The sequence below is a fragment of the Homo sapiens genome, chromosome 1 (genome assembly GCF_000001405.40).
Source record: "Homo sapiens chromosome 1, GRCh38.p14 Primary Assembly".
NCBI lineage: Eukaryota > Metazoa > Chordata > Mammalia > Primates > Hominidae > Homo > Homo sapiens.
In genome coordinates this window covers 160,325,166-160,341,546 of record NC_000001.11, presented here as the reverse complement: position 1 = coordinate 160,341,546, position 16,381 = coordinate 160,325,166, and the positions used below count along the sequence as shown (strand labels likewise).

The following is a 16,381-nucleotide window of genomic DNA, read 5'->3' as shown; positions in this document are numbered from 1 at the left end:
CACATATTCTATTCCTGAGCAATCTCACAGGTCTTTAGCCTAGGGCAGTAATAATGCAAATAGGCTAGATTATGTGTAGAAGTATCTTCAGTAGGCTCTTCTGATAGCCAAAAATTGGCGGACAAAATGCCTGTTAGAATAATATAAGTGTAGTACATTTGTCCCTTGTAGTTAAAAAGAATGAGGTTATGTTTATATGTACTTCCATGAGATCCATATTATATAGTTAAGTGAGGAAGAAGTTTGCAGAACAACATCATAACGTGATCCCCACTTTCATAAAATACTAAAGCCTATGTCTATGTGTAACTGCATTAAAAATCTGAAAGGATACACTTCAAACTGTTAGTAGTTGTTACCTCTGGGGACTTCCATTTCCAGTCATGATAGAATAACAAGAGCCAGATTTACCTTCCCACCTTAACTATACAACTGAACAAAATGTATGAAACAAAGGTTCATACATTGCTCACAGATGTTGGGCAACAGGCAGTGCAGGAAAATAATTCTCCAGAGAAGGCAAATAAACAAGGTGAGTCCTGTGATTGTCGTAGATTACTGCCTAGAGAGTTTTTAGGCTTCAGTGAAGAGGGGAATCCCTTGGTCTTTCTGAGGAGACATAAATTTAGAGTGTGGGGAAGCAAAGATGGCTAGATTTTGTTGGGCAAAATACCGGAGAAGAGGGGGCTGCAGAGAGAGAGCACTAGAGATCTGCAGGATGTCTTCTCAGGTCTTTGTTTGAGTACTGATCTGCATGTGAGAAAACTATTCAAAACCTGAAAAAGGACCACTGGAAAGGAGAAGGCAGAGCAATCCCCAGAGTTCACACTAGTGAACTGGGACTAGTTTGTGTTCCTACTTGCCAGAAAGGAAAGACTTCCTAATATTACAGGGCTTCAAATAGAGACCTCAGATGGCTATTGCTTTAATAGTGGTTCCAGATTAAGCCTAGAATGAAGGCTGCTGTAGCCCCTCTGTAATAAAACCTAAAAGCAAGCCTTGAAAGGATCAACTGATTCCAAGTAACTTAATTGTATCCTAGAGCAAAGCCCAAGAATATGTAAAGGAATATGACAAAAATCTAGTACCAAACATAAAATTCACGATGTCTGGCATCCAGTAAAAAATCATCAAGCATGTCGAATGAATGAACCTAGGATTAACCTTGATGTTTCTTTTTCTTATCAGAATTGACAGAAGGTGACATCATGGGGCTTAGTTAGCTCATTGTATCATTTTCTATTTTTTTCAGGGCTCAGCTTTCACCCCAAAAGACCTTGGATCCTGACTAGTTTACATAATGGGGTCATCCAGTTATGGGACTATCGGATGTGCACTCTCATTGACAAGTTTGATGAACATGATGGTGAGATATTTCTAGGAGGAAGTTAAAGGAGTATAAGTATTTATAATATCCTGGGGTATTTTAAGCCTTGTTTGACATGGATTCCTCTATGATTAAAGAATGTGGAAATGATAGAACTGAAAAATCCTGAATAGGAATCACCTTAGAGATTAGAAAGGATAGCTCTGTCTAACATACATTGCCTGCCTTCTCCACCAGGTCCAGTGCGAGGCATTGACTTCCATAAGCAGCAGCCACTGTTCGTCTCTGGAGGAGATGACTATAAGATTAAGGTACAGAGGGTCTGTCATAACTGAGAATAAAGGAAAGAGGATGTGGGAAGGTTTGGGAATCATGAAAGGAACTGAAAGACAGGAAATTTCATTCATACAGAGCTCAGGCCTTTGACAACATTATCCGGAGAACTTACTCAGCAAACATTTATTGAATGCTTACTGTGTACCAGACACTGTTTTCTTTTTAGGGAATTCAAAAATAAATAAGAAATGGCTTCTGTTTTCAAGGAGCTTTTATTCTAATACAGAAGATAAACATATATCCAAGTAATAGCATGTACAGTTTGGTAAGCAATATAATAGAGAGATATTCACAGTGAAATAGGAAAGAGCAGTATAGGTGCAAAGACAAAAAGCATGACACAGCTAGATACAGGGCAGCTGTTATTGGTTTTGTATGGAGAAAACCTGGAGAAATGGTGAGAGAAGGGGCAGAAGATGAGAGGGGCCAGATCATGGAGTACCTGTTTGTGGCGCTCAGGAGTTTAGATGTTATCATGCAGATAACTAGGAGCCATTTGAGGAACTTAAATACAGGAGTGATACCAGATTTATATGTTTTTAAAATGATTACTTGGTGGTAATTAAAGAAAAGATTGGATGATTTGGGCAAGACAGGAGGCAAAAATACCAGTTAGGAAACCTGAGCTTAGGTAGTAGCATTTGAAATGGAGAGAAGGAGATGGATGTGAGAATTTAAGGAAATGAATCAGTGTGTCTGTTGGGTGATGGCCAATAAGGAGAAATAAATGAGATGGCCAATAAGGAGAAATAAGGGCCAATAAGGAGAAATAAATGAGCTGACTTTCAGGCTTCTAGTTTAGGTCACTGGGTAAAGGGGGTGTCATTAACTAGGAAAGGAAAATCAGGAGGAGATAGTTTTCTGGAGTGGAAGAGAATGGATAATGAATTCCATCTTGTCTCTGGTGATTTTGAGGGACCTAAGGGACAGTCTAGTTGAGGTGTCTGTGCTAGAAATATATTTGTGATTTGTCGTCATGAAGGGAGGAGCCAAAGGAGAAGCAGTAGAAGATATTGCTCAAGGAGTACGTTGAATAAGAAGACAGACCATCATTTAAGGGAGAGAGAGGAAGTAGAGTTAGTATGGGAAACAGTGATTCGAGGGGTTCGAGATGAACCAAGAGGGAGAAGAAGCCTCTTGGATGCCAAGGAAGAAGAGAATTTTGGGAAGGAGAAAGTGTTCAGAATAAGATCAAGATTGAGAAATAACCTTTGAATTGCTTAATTTGGAAGGCCTTAGTGTGAAATGAGGAAGCAGACAGAATATAGGCAATTCTTTAAAGACAACTGACTATCATAATAGCAAAAGTTAGAGCCAGAGACTAGCAACCTATAAAAATAAATCAAAATTTCCTCTGTTTACTTCCTTTAGTTGTTTTCATTAAGTCTATGTGTCAAACCGAACCAGTGAAATTTAATTCATAAAAAGGTAAAGTCTTTTCATAAGCAACTTCAAGAAGTTATATATTGTGATTATACCGCAGAACTTAGGTGATGGGAGTAAAGAGTGACAGCTGCCTACAGAGAAAAGAGCTATTAGAATTATAGGAAGGACATTTCTTTCTGTTTTCTAGTTTTTAGGCACCACATCCTGGGGCAATCAAAACTCAAACCACCTGACAGATCTCAAAAGCCCATAAGGATATCACCTCATTATAGTATTTTTGTATTTGTTATTTATAGTGATGAACATTGAGTATCAAGAATGGTTAACTTGGGATTCTTATAATCTGTTTAAAAAGGAAAAACTGGGTGTTAATTAAGAAAAAGTTTTCCCAAAATGACTAATATTTTGGAAAAGAAATTATCTTCCACTTATGAAATGTCCAGAATAGGTAAATCTATAGAGACAGAAAGTAGGTTAGTGATTGTCTAGGGTTGGAGGGGTTGGGAGGAAATGAGAAGTGACAGCTAATGGGTATGAATTTCTTAGGGGAGTGAATAAAAATGTTCTAAAATGGATGGTTGCACAACTGTGAATATATTAAAAGCCATTGAGTTTTATACTTTATATGAATAAATTGTATGGTATTTGAACTGTATCTCAATAAAGCTGTTATTAAAACAAAGGAATTCTTTATTAGCTGGTAGGTGTGTAGTGCTATCATTTGGTGGGTTTTTTTGGTTTGTTTTTTGTTTGTTTGTTTGTTTGTTTGTTTGTTTTTTGCGATGGAGTCTTGTTCTGTTGCCCAGGCTGGAGTGCAGTGGCGTGATCTCGGCTCACTGCAGCCTCCACCTCCCGGGTTCAAGTGGTTCTCCTGCCTCAGCCTCCCGAGTAGCTGGAATTACAGGCATGCGCCACCAAGCCCGGCTAATTTTGTATTTTTAGTAGAGATGGGGTTTCTCCATGTTGGTCAGGCTGGTCTTGAACTCCCGACCTCGGGTCGTCTTCCTGCCTCGGCCTCCCAAAGTGCTGGGATTACAGGCGTGAGCCACCGCACCCGGCCCATTCGGTGGTTTTAATTAATTTCTCTGATGACTAATAAACTTGAACATTTTTCCATAAAAAGGGGGATTATCTAGAAAAGTCATGTCTGTGGACCATCTTATTGCTTGCTATATCCAGATAAATGTAGCATTAGTTATAATCCTCGTTGACAAAGAGTAAGACAAGGAGCCCAGCAAATGGTCAGAGTATTCATCTAAAACCCCTATAAGTTTTTAAGGATTTACAGTTTTGGAGCTTGACTTAGGCCATTAAAGGAGTCAAGACATTTTGAAACTAGAAATATGAAAGTTTAAAACACTGAACTCTATAAGGGGAAAAAAGTCAGTTAAAGAATAGTGTTTATGGTATGGTCTAATTTTTATGTGAAACTCTACTGTGTACATGTGTATTTATATGTAGCTGATTGAATAGATAGAGGCAAAGGTATTGGAATACCTTAACTTTTCATGTTATTCTTATTTCCATACATAATGCTTACTGAGCACTTACCTAATGTCAGGCACTGTGTTAGGTGGTAAGGGTATAGTGTTGAGCATGATGGACAAGAACCCTGCCTTTAAGGAACTCAGCATTCTTGTTTGGAAGATCATACTTTTGGATTGTCTGGACTTGTTATAGGAAATGAAATTTTTATAATTTACTGAAGAAAAGTTAAAAATTAGAAATAGTAACAAGCTGGCCCAGATTGATTATAAACAAATATTAAAAAGAAATTTAAAAAAATTAAATAAGAAGAAAAATGCATCTGGTCTCTTATTTTTGTACATTTTAGGGGATTTTCTGAATGAGGAAGATAAGCTATTTTATATTTATGATCCTGGTTTTCATGTCTTCAGTTGTGTTCATTGATGCCTAGTACTTTGGTAGTTGACTCAACTTCACATCTGAATATGATATTGTTTCTCTGCTTAGCTCAGGCTTACTGAGCAATGTAGTATTTTCCATGTAATAAGTTAAGGTCTGTTTGCTTGACAGGTGAGTACAGACCACACATGTATGGGCGTTGTTTGCCATCAAGTTAGGAGCCTAAGAAGCTGATGCCCTATATTATTGTTTCCCTTGGAGTCATGGTATCTATCTGTCCTACTTTTTTTTTTTTTTTTGAGACCGAGCCTCTCTCTGTCGCCCAGGCTGGAGTGCAGTGGAGCGATCTCAACTCACTGCAAACGCCGCCTCCCAGGTTCAAGTGATCCTGCTGCCGCAGCCTCCCAAGTAGCTGGGATCACATCCGGCTAATTTTTTTTTGTATTTTTGTAGAGACAGGGTTTCCCCATGTTGGCCAGGCCGGTCCCAAACTCCTGACCTCAGGTGATCCCCCTGCCTTGACCTCCCAAAGTGCTGGGATTACAGGTATGAGCCATCGTGCCCAGCCTGTCATACTTTTTAAAAGTGATGGGTAAAGCACTTAAGGGGTCTATATTCAAGCCAAGAGCACAATTTTGCAGTAGAAAAAAGAGTTGCAAATCAAGCCCTGGATAAATATCTCCTGCTATTAAATGCAGATGGCTTCTTCCCAAAGAAAGAAAAACTTTTTTTTTTTTTTTTTTTTTTTGAGACTGAGTCTCGCTCTGTTACCCAGGCTGGAGTACAATGGCATGATTTCGGCTCACTGCAACCTCTTGTATCCTGAGTTCAAGCGATTCTCCTGCCTCAGCCTCCCGAGTAGCTGGGACTACAGGCACATGCCACCACGCCTGGCTAATTTTTTGTATTTTTAGTAGAGACAGGGTTTCACTATGTTAGCCAGGATGGTCTCGATCTCCTGACCTTGTGATCCACCCGCCTCGACCTCCCAAAGTGCTGGGATTACAGGCATGAGTGACCACGCCCAGCCTGAAAAACTTCAATAATTTTATCTTTAGCTTTTCCCTAATCCTACCCCAACCCCATGTTGTTTATCTGACCTATATTTTCATTCTTGTTCTTTTCCCCTCAAATCTTAAACAAGGCTTTCTACCAAGGTTCCTACCTATTTAGAAATGCCAAAATACAAATAATGTATATAAATCTATATTTATATACATATTTCTATCTCTGTAAAGATATCAATTTCTCTGAGCCTTTTAGAGGCTCAATAACTATTTCTGTTTCTTAGTTTGATTTGTCTTTGCAGGTTTGGAATTACAAGCTTCGGCGCTGTCTTTTCACATTGCTTGGGCACTTAGATTATATTCGCACCACGTTTTTTCATCATGTAAGTAGTCATGGTGGCGCTAGTTTTGGAGCATTCTTAGTTTCCCCATAGTAATCTTTATTTGATCCTTGAGAACCCATGTTTTAATAATAGAGTTGTTTTTGGAGTGGCTCTTCTACAATCTGTGTGGTATTGTCCTTTCTGCTTTTTTTCTTTCTGCAAAAGGAAGCACTTGGGATTATACTGAATTTAATTTTATTGGATTCAGTGGATTCTATGGGAAGTCATTGTTTCTCTGTAGGGAAAAGTAGGGATTTGATTTCAGATTTGCTGAACCAAAAAACAAAAGTTTGCCAGCTAATCCCATGTAGGGTATTATTAGTAAGTAGTAGGTGTGTCTGGAAGAAGGTCAGACTAAGATGCCATTTTGATCAGCTAACAAACGTTTCGAAGTATTAACAATCATACCCCTCTATCCTAGGATTTTTGGGTCTGGTGGAGGCTGTTCCCTTAGCCAGGCTTACTACTTTCTTTGATCTGCCAGGTAACATAGTAGATTTAGATAGTGAGGTGCAGATTACAGACTCCCAACCTCTGAATCCAGTTGCACCCTGACAGGATCTCCTTATAGTTCTGTGTATTAGCATTAACTTACACTATTCTTTGATTGCCAGTAAATTAAGTCTCTTTAATTAAGTTAGAAAGAATATGATGAAATAAACAATTTACTGGTTGAGTATATATTATTTCTTTTTTTAATTAAAAAATTCTAGGATAGGAGAGAATGAGAAAATTACAGCTTAAACATTTGAGAATGATAACCACTCAATAAGATAACTTATTAAGTAGGAATTATTTGTCATTGCCATAAAGGACTTCCTGAAGACCCTTGCCTAGAACAAGTTGCCATCTACCTGGAAAGTTACGAAAGACCTTATTTTCTTTCATTTTACCAGCTCACTAAATATGTGTGTGCCTTATACTTGCTAAGCTTTGTGCTAAATACTGAAGGTAGAGATACTATCTCTATTGAAAATAGAAATACCATCTATTTTCAGTGTTTAACACAAAGCTTAGCAAGTGTAGTAAGAAGGAAGTGTAAATAAGAAATACTTCCTTTTCTCAACAATCTTATAGACTCCAAAAAGGCTAAATTGTCTTTACATGTTACTTTCTGCTTTGCTTGCTGAGACCTGGGAATTTTTTGAAACTGGACAGAAAGAAGTCAGACAATAAAATAATATTCCCATCCTAGAGTTAAAGGTAGAAGAGTCTTTCACAGGATCTTAATTTACATGATTAACTGTATATAAATACACACACACACACACACACATATAGAAGTAAATGTAAATGTATGTTTCACTATCTGCCTCTGAGAATGTATTGTGCCTCTAACTGGCTTCCATTCTTAAGTCTTATAGGTGAAAGTGCCGAAGTTGAGAAAAGCTGTTAGAGTGGTAGAGAAAAGGAGACAGCTAACCTGATAGCAAAAGCAGCAGCCCCTTTGCTAATGTAGCTGAGCCGTTAAGCAATGCAGTTCTTTAGAGAAAAATGATTACAAGAACCTGATAGAACAGATTTGTTTAATGTTTAAAGCCTTTGTCTGGAATATCTTTCAGGAATATCCCTGGATTCTGAGTGCCTCCGATGATCAGACCATCCGAGTGTGGAACTGGCAATCTAGAACCTGTGTTTGGTAAAGCAGGAGGCAGAGGGCTCGAAAAGAGTCTTCATTTTTCCTAGTTTTTCATAATGAGCTTCTCTTAGAACAATCTTCTCCCTTCTCAAATGGACTATGTCGGCTGATTAATTACTGATTGTATTTGTAGGATGCTTTTAAGTGCAAAATAATAAATGTAGAGGCAATCCCATATATGAATCTGGACTTCCAATAATTTCTTACCAGGAAGAGAAGTCATATAGCCTTTTAGAACAAGAACTTTTAGCTGGTTTTCAATTATTTTCCCATAAAACCTGAGTCAAGGTCTAGACCTTTGTCTTATTTTGTGTTTGGAGCTGGAGCTTTACATAGAACTTTCCATGAAGAGTTAGGGACCATTTAAAGTGATGGCCTTGGCCCGGCGCCATGGCTCATGCCTGTAATCCCAGCACTTTGGGAGGCCAAGGCAGGCAAATCACCTGAGGTTAGAAGTTCGAGACCAGCCTGGCCAAGATGGTGAAACCCCGTCTCTACTAAAAATACAAAAATAAGCTGGACGCGGTGGCGTGTGCCTATAGTCCCAGCTACTCGGGAGGCTGAGGCGGAGAATCGCTTGAACTGGGGAGGCAGAGGTTGCAGTGAGCCAAGATTGCGCCACTGCACTCCAGCCTGGGCAACAGAGTGAAATTCCATCTCAAAAAAATAATAACAATAAAAAATAAAGTGATGGCCTTTAAAAGGGATACCCTACTAAAATCTCACAGATAATTTACAGTATGGATTACTGAGATTACATTTATTTTGATATTTTAAAATATTTTTGAGAGAAGAGCTATGTAATCTTAGTCCTCCTGAAATTAGTAATATTTAAATACTAAAGCATTAGAGGCAAGAAGAGAACTATTGTTAAAATAGCTGACTGGGCTTATTATTATTAGTTCAGAATTGGTAGGATGACCTGCCTTTGTCTCCATAAAAGTAAAACTGGATAAGCATTTATTGAATATGGAGAAAGGTATTTAGTTTAGGAGTCTGTTGACTTCCACCTCTAATTTGGTATTGTCTTTTTTTTTTCTTGCAGTGTGTTAACAGGGCACAACCATTATGTGATGTGTGCTCAGTTCCACCCCACAGAAGACTTGGTAGTATCAGCCAGCCTGGACCAGACTGTGCGCGTTTGGGATATTTCTGGTGAGCTGCCCAAGTTCAGAGGACAACCTGGTCATCTCTGGTGCAAAACTGCAATTGCTTAAAATAGTGAGGAGAGTTGACTTAGAACTGGAAAATTTAGAATATTCTGTTTTATAATAGCATCTTTGTTTCTGAGGTTGTTGAATTTGCTTTGATGGTTCTTCATATTGGAAGTCTTCTCTAAGAAAAGAGGTAACTCTAGAAAATTCATTTGATTTGAAGAAATTTTAACTTTCTAGTTACATCAGCTTTTGTTAAAATCTATTTACTGTTGCAACATTTGATTAAGAATCATGCTTTCCACTCAAATAAGAAAAAATACATCTATGACAAAAAGAAATTTTGAGAATAGATTAATACAGGGAAACAAGACTCTTGGACCCTATCGCTTTATTTAAAAATAGTAAAATCTCTCTATTACGTTTCTTCTAGTGCGGGGAGCATGGTTGGGTTCTAGGAGTTGGTGACTTTTATGTCCAGAATACCTTTTTTTTTTTTCTGAGAGGGAGTCTTGCTTTGTTGCCCAGGCTGGAGCGCAGTGGTGTGATGATCTTGGCTCACTGCAACCTCCACCTCCCGGGTTCAAGCAATTCTCCCTCAGCCTCCTGAGTAGCTGGGACTACAGATGCATGTGACCACACCTGGCTAATTTTTGTATCTTAATTAGAGATGGGGTTTCACCATATTGGCCAGGCTGGTCTCAAACTCCTGACCTTGTGATCTGCCTGCCTCGGCCTCCCAAAGTACTGGGACTACAGGTGTGAGCCACCGTGGCTGGCCTGTTTTTTTTTTTTTTTTTGAGATGGAGTCTCACTCTGTCTCACCCATGCTGAAATGCAGTGGCGCAATCTCGGCTCGCTACAACCTCTGCCTCCCGGATTCAAGCGTTTCTTGTGCCTCATAAGTAACTGAGATTACAGGTGCACGCCACCACGCACAGCTAATTTTTGTATTTTTAGTAGAGACAGGGTTTCACCATGTTAGCCAGGCTGGTCTCGAACTCCTGACCTCAGGTGATTCTCCTGCCTCAGCCTCCCAAAGTGCTGGGATTACAGACATGAGCCCCTGTGCCTAGCCCAGAATACCTTTTAATGGACAGATTTAGGACTAGAAATTAAATAATTTATAGATTATGGATAGTTGGGATAATTCCTCCTTTTACAGTTTACATATCTTTATTTTGAGACAAGGATTTAAATGTTTAGTCTTATATAGAGGAGATCTAAGAAAGTGCTACCTAGAGAATTTAAATGTAGAGAATGGACTGTACCTGTGAGACCTATGGAAGCGCTTCATGTTGGAATAGGGAAATCAAACACTAAATGCTGTAGTTCTCTGACCAGTTAGTATTTGTTGTTTCTTTCTTTCTTTTTTTTTAACTTTTATTTATTTATTTTTGCCATGTGCCACCATGCCCAGCTAATTTTTGTATTTTTAGTAGAGACAGGGTTTCACCATGTTGGCCAGGCTGGTCTCGAGCTCCTGATCTCAGGTGATCCACCCACCTTTGCCTCCCAGAGTGCTGAGATTATAGGCGCGAGCCACCATGCCCAGCCTGTTGTTTCTTTGTATTCATTTCCTTAGAAATTCTTGGAGATTTGAGTTCTTTGAAATGTCAGTGACTGGACTACAAAACATGTTTCATTCTATGAAAGGAAGGCCCCCCTCATAGATCTTTGTTTGGTTCTTTGTAATAAAGGAGTCATCCTCTGCATTGTACAGCTGAGGTGATAACTATTCCCAACTCCATTGTGGCATGGGGGACTGGGGCAATAATGGCACTTGTTCTTATAGACCATTAATGAACAGCAAGCTGAAAATTTGGATTCTGAGATACAGCATTTGGAATACTGCAATAGCAGTTTAGGTTAATGTAGCATAGAAACAAGACAAGAGGAGATGGGGACAATTGTAGAGTAGAACCTCTAGATAATGCTGTCTTTGTAGTTTTCAAAGGCATAGAATGAAAGGGAGGAGTATAAACAAGAGGTATTGGAGATAGGGCAGTTGTATTCTCTTTCCCTAGGGCTTTGCCATTGCAGTTTTTCATCAGACTGACAAGGTTTTTTGAAGTACACCCAGATGTGACCAGCCATGCCAACAGGAGGAGCTAGACACAGGCACTGTGAACCTGTGTCCTCTCCTCACTGCCAGTACCAGGGAGCTTAGCATCTACTCTCCCAGTAACCTTGCTATGGCTTTCCATGGTTTTTCACTGTGCACACATTCAAAGCACTCTCTCTGTCTCAGGATATAGGAGCCTGATGGGCTTGGATCCCAATTCATGCTATTCCAGCTGATCAGGGGCAATTTTTTTTTGGGGGGGGTGGCGGTGGGGACAGAGTCTCACTGTTACCCAGGCTGGAGTGCAGTGGCATGATCTCAGCTCACTACAACCTCCACCTCCTGGGTTCAAGCAATTATCCTGCCTCAGTCTTCCAAGTAGCTGGGACTACAAGGGCATGCCACCATGCCCAGCTAATTTTTGTGTGTTTTTAGTAGAGACAGGGTTTCACTATTTTGGCCAGGCTAGTCTCGAACTCCTGACCTCAAGTGATCCAGCTGCCTCAGCCTCCCAAAGTGCTGGGATTACAAGCACGAGCCACTGCCCCTGGCCGGCAATTATTCAGAATATCCTTTGTCAACCTGGATTCTGTGAGAGAATTAAGTGCTATAGAAAGTACTTTCAGTGGCTGTTTTCGTAGTTCTTCTAAGAATGGTATATAGCTAATGCTATTCTAGTTCATAGAGAATTTGTTACATACCTAAACTGATGCCTTTCGGGCATTAAAACTTAATTCTTTTCCAGAACGCCGGGTTGAGAAGGGCTCCACTGTAAAAGTAATGTTTGTGCCACCTGATGCCAGCCTTGCATGTTCCCTGCAGTCTAGCCAATGCAGTTTGGGGGCAGTCAGGTGGTTGGATTCTTGGTGGTCATGAAATGCTCAAGGCATGAAATACTTTTCTTTACCTTTTGCAGACAGAGAACATTTTTACATCAAAATTAAGGGCCCTAGATCAGAGAAGAGAGGGAGTGTGACCCCATGGGGTTTATACTTGCTCTTGAATGTGTGAAGTGCATGGATTACTATGTAATAACCTTGCAATTGCTATACTTTATTTATGTGATAGTAAGAATTTTGTGCTAGCTTGCTGTACTAATGTTAATGCTCTTTTTACCATTTCTAAGTGTTGTTCTTTACCCACAACTCTTGACTTCCAGTAACCCCTTAACCAGAGTGGAAGGAGATGCTTTGGTATTTAACAAAGTGCAAGAAGCTTTTGGGTTAGACTTTTATACTTTCCTTCTCTAGAAATCAGCATATTCTTTTTCAGCAGGGTTCTTTTTTGCTATTGGGTTCAAATAAGTCTGAAAACAGGAAGAGGAATTAGCTTTCCGATCTGTTAAAGACCAGTGCTTATATTTCTGAAAGGGAGAAGTTAGTTCTGAATGAGAGTATGAATACTCCCAAATTTAGAGGACTAGTTCTAATTTTTTTGACTATTTTTTTTTGAAAGGGACACTCTCTGAGTTAGTTAAGCAGTAAGAGAATATAGAGATCTTTAAAGGAAAACCTATCTCTTGGTACCTCTCCCATAGGGATTGAACCCCACAGGGCTTAGCTTAACCTGAATCTTTTGTGTTACCCTGGCAAAAACTATTTGTTTAAAAGGGAATGTATTTACAAACCTACATATAAAAGGTTACTTTCTTAACTTGAGCTTCTAAGTAAACTGACAGTTAAATTATTTTAATATGCTTATACCTTTGCATGTCAAGCCCATGTAATTCAGGCTCAGTCTCTGAAAAGGCTACTAAAAAAGTATTAATTTGCTGCCAAATCCTGTTATCATCCCTCTCTTTTTCCTGCTTTCCCTGGTCCGTATTGGGAGGTGTGCATCAAACTGGTCCATTCTGAGAGTGTCCTCTCCTCCCTCTGGATTTGGGTAGCTGCTGTAGAAATTTTCCATCTGTCGTTCAGTCCTAGCGAGCGGCTTGTTGAAGGCTCAAATATTTCTTCTCTGAGTATCTTTTCACTGCCTGTCACCATTCATCTGTCTGTTTTTGCCCTTCCCCTTTTCCCGGATCATTACACGCAAATGCAACAAAGCCTTCCATTCTGTCATACGGCTTTCCTTTTAATGTGTTTGTTGAAGCTTATTGGAGGTGAAGTTTCTCACAGCTGTCTATCTTTGTATTTTCCTTTGAATCTGTTTCATATACCAGACTCGTTAGAAAAAGTTGACAGATCTTATTAAAGGGACAAGTGAAATAAGTGAAAGGAGGCATCCCAGCGATAAAGTATTTATGAGCCTTTGGGAGAGTATATTGTAAAACATCAGCTTTATTTCTCTCTACCTACTGGCTAAATGCTCATCTTGGACAGAGGACAAGATAATTAAAATTGTTGTGGCCTTCTAAGCTCTTGCTTCTCCAGTGTTAACATGTAGGTGCCACCATAACAGAAGAGATATATTATAATTTTAAAACAATAAATATAAATGCAGTTATTAAACTTAAGTTCTTATATTTTCCTACAGATGGCAAAGTTTAGGCTTAAAATGACTTAGGTTTTCTTTCCTTTTTTTGAGACGGAGTTTCACTCTGTTGCCCAGGCTGGAGTGCAGTGGCGGGATCTCAGCTCATCGCAGCCTCCGTCTCCCGGGTTCAAGTGATTCTCCTGCCTCAGCCTCCCAGGTAGCTGGGATTACAGGCATGCACCACCACACCCAGCTAATTTTTGTATTTTTAGTAGAGACAGGGTTTCACCATTTGAGCCAGGCTGGTCTCAAACTCCTGACCTCAGTTGTTCCACCTGCCTTGGCCTCCCAAAGTGCTGGGATTACAGGTGTGAGCCACCGTGCCCAGCCTCCTTTTTTTTTAATTTGAGACGGAGTTTCGTTCTTTCGCCCAGGCTGGAGTAAAGTGGTGCAATCTTGGCTCACTGCAACCTCCGCGCTGCGCCCCCCCCAGCCCCGCCCCCCGGGTTCAAGCAATTCCCCTGCCTCAGCCTCCCTAGCAGCTGGGATTACAGGCATGCGCCGTCATGCCCGACTAATTTTTGTATGTTTAGTAGAGACGGGGTTTTGCCATGTTAGCCAGGCAGACCTCAAACTCCTGACCTGCGGTGGTTCACCTGTCTCAGCCTCCCAAAGTGCTAGGATTACAGGCGTGAGCCACTGCGCCCAGCCTTTAGGTTTTATTTTCAATGAGAGTTTTTATTTTCCATTACACATAACTGTCTTTTTAAAAAATATTTACAAGTGCTAGGTAATTTCATCTTCCACTATTCCCCCAAAATACTTCAAAATATAGGATTTTAGTCTCAATTCTTTTTTTCTCATCTACAAACTGTTATAATTTTACCTGCTTGTTCATTCCAAAGGTTTGTTATCAGAGTCCAGTTACATAACATACTCTCTGAAAACCACAAAGTACTTTCCGAATGTGAGATAGTAGCAGTGCTATCATAATTTTGGTTCTGACTATAGCACAAATAGCTTTTAAAGATAGATTTACTTGAGCCATATATGTGGGTCCTCTACAAATAAGACTATTATTATTCTGGTGTCTTTTTCCATCGTTTTTAAGTTACAGGATAATTCCTCCCAGTAAAACTAGCCTCCAAAGGTTTTAATGGCAAAATCCAAGTATTCAAATCTATAATCAGCCTTTTAAGCAGGAACTTAAAATGACATGACAGTTTTAATTATCTTGTTCTTCGTCCAAGAGTCAAGTAGTAGGCATGAGTACACTTTTTACATGGCTTATGGTTTTACGTTATCTTCTACCAAACAGCTGTTTTGTACTTAATAGGCCTAGTTTCTGTAACCCATTTGGAACTTCCCCCATCAGCTGTCGAAAGGCTTCAAGTTGAGAAACACTGCACTGTGGCTTCTTCAAATGGCTTTTCTTTTTTGAGATAGGGTCTCAATGTCACCCAGGCTGGAGTGCAGTGGCGCCATCATGGCTCACTGCAGCCTCGACTTCCTGGGCTCAAGCCATCCCCCTATCTCTCAGCCTCCCAAGTAGCTGGGACTACAGGCTCGCGCCACTGCACCTAGCTAATTTTTATATTTTTTGGAGAGACGGGGTTTTGCCATGTTGCTCAGGCTGATCTTTAACTCTTGGGCTCAAGCGATCCACCTGCCTTAGCCTCCCAAAGTGCTAGGATTATAGGCGTGAACCACCACGCCAACCTCAAATGGCTTTCCTTTAAAATTTCTTGAGCCTAGTCCGAAGATAGTGAGTTATCTCAGTTGATTGTTCACAGTCAGTTACAGATTGAACTCCTTGTTCCACTCTTTTCCCCATTCTCACTACTGCACTTGACTATTCTTTAAAAAAAAGAAAAAAATTTCTGAAATGATCGGGGAAAAGCTGCTATAAATTTTATGAAGTTGAGAGTAGAAATTGAATGTTTACCATTTGGGGCCACATTTCAAGAACACTGAAGAATGGAAAGTGGGCATTAACTGAAGCAGACACCTCTTGAGGTAAGATTTGTGGAAGAAGAGGTTAAAGTGTGCCAGAAATTTGGGTTACCCTCCTCTAGAAAGAAATTCCAGTAATGGATCTGTTTAAGTGTTAAGGGAGCAGAAGAGAAGACGGTGAATGTACTTCAATATTTTGAACATTTTTAGAAATAGGAATTCTTGAGTCTCTTTTCTTTCTTCAGTCTTTTCCATTTCTTTTTCTTTTCTTTTTCACTGTAATTTCTGTGTTTCTGATACTGTGCTGTTTTAGATAATATTATGTTTACATCTTTCATCCCACTCCTTATCCCTTCAAAGGTCTGAGGAAAAAAAACCTGTCCCCTGGTGCGGTGGAATCGGATGTGAGAGGAATAACTGGGGTTGATCTATTTGGAACTACAGATGCAGTGGTGAAGCATGTACTAGAGGTACTTATCTTTATAGCCAGGGGCTGAATATGGGCTGTCATCTTGGGAAAGTCACAGTATGTTGTTCATTTATTCATTCCTTCAACAAATATTTACAGAGTGCTTATTAAGTGCCAGGCACTGTTTGAGGTACTAGAAATCAAATTGTGCGTGAACCAACAGAGAAATGAAGCTTATGTGCCACCTGAGGGAGAGTCTTATTACCTTATAAACCCAGTGGGAAAGGGAGAAAGCCAGGCGTAGACCTCATCACCATCCCAAAGCAGAGCCCATTCTCAAGCTTTCTGTAAGGCAGGGCAGCAGGAAATTTAATCGGAGTTATCGAGAACCAGCCATGTGTAACTTTTGTGCAGGTGGGAAAACAGAAAAGCATAAGG

The 16,381-nt window shown here is 39.9% G+C and overlaps 1 protein-coding gene across 2 annotated transcripts in view; it reads left to right on the top strand.

Annotated features, from left to right (window-relative positions):
* COPA (coat protein complex I subunit alpha) overlaps positions 1-16,381 on the top strand; it is a 54,657-nt gene that overhangs the window by 1,704 nt on the left and 36,572 nt on the right. For both annotated transcript variants that reach the window (NM_004371.4, NM_001098398.2), the window contains exons 2-7: positions 1,253-1,366; positions 1,565-1,638; positions 6,225-6,305; positions 7,868-7,944; positions 8,990-9,099; positions 15,895-16,004. In NM_004371.4, coding sequence (NP_004362.2) covers positions 1,253-1,366; positions 1,565-1,638; positions 6,225-6,305; positions 7,868-7,944; positions 8,990-9,099; positions 15,895-16,004 — 566 coding nt within the window. The remainder of the gene's footprint in view (positions 1-1,252; positions 1,367-1,564; positions 1,639-6,224; positions 6,306-7,867; positions 7,945-8,989; positions 9,100-15,894; positions 16,005-16,381) is intronic.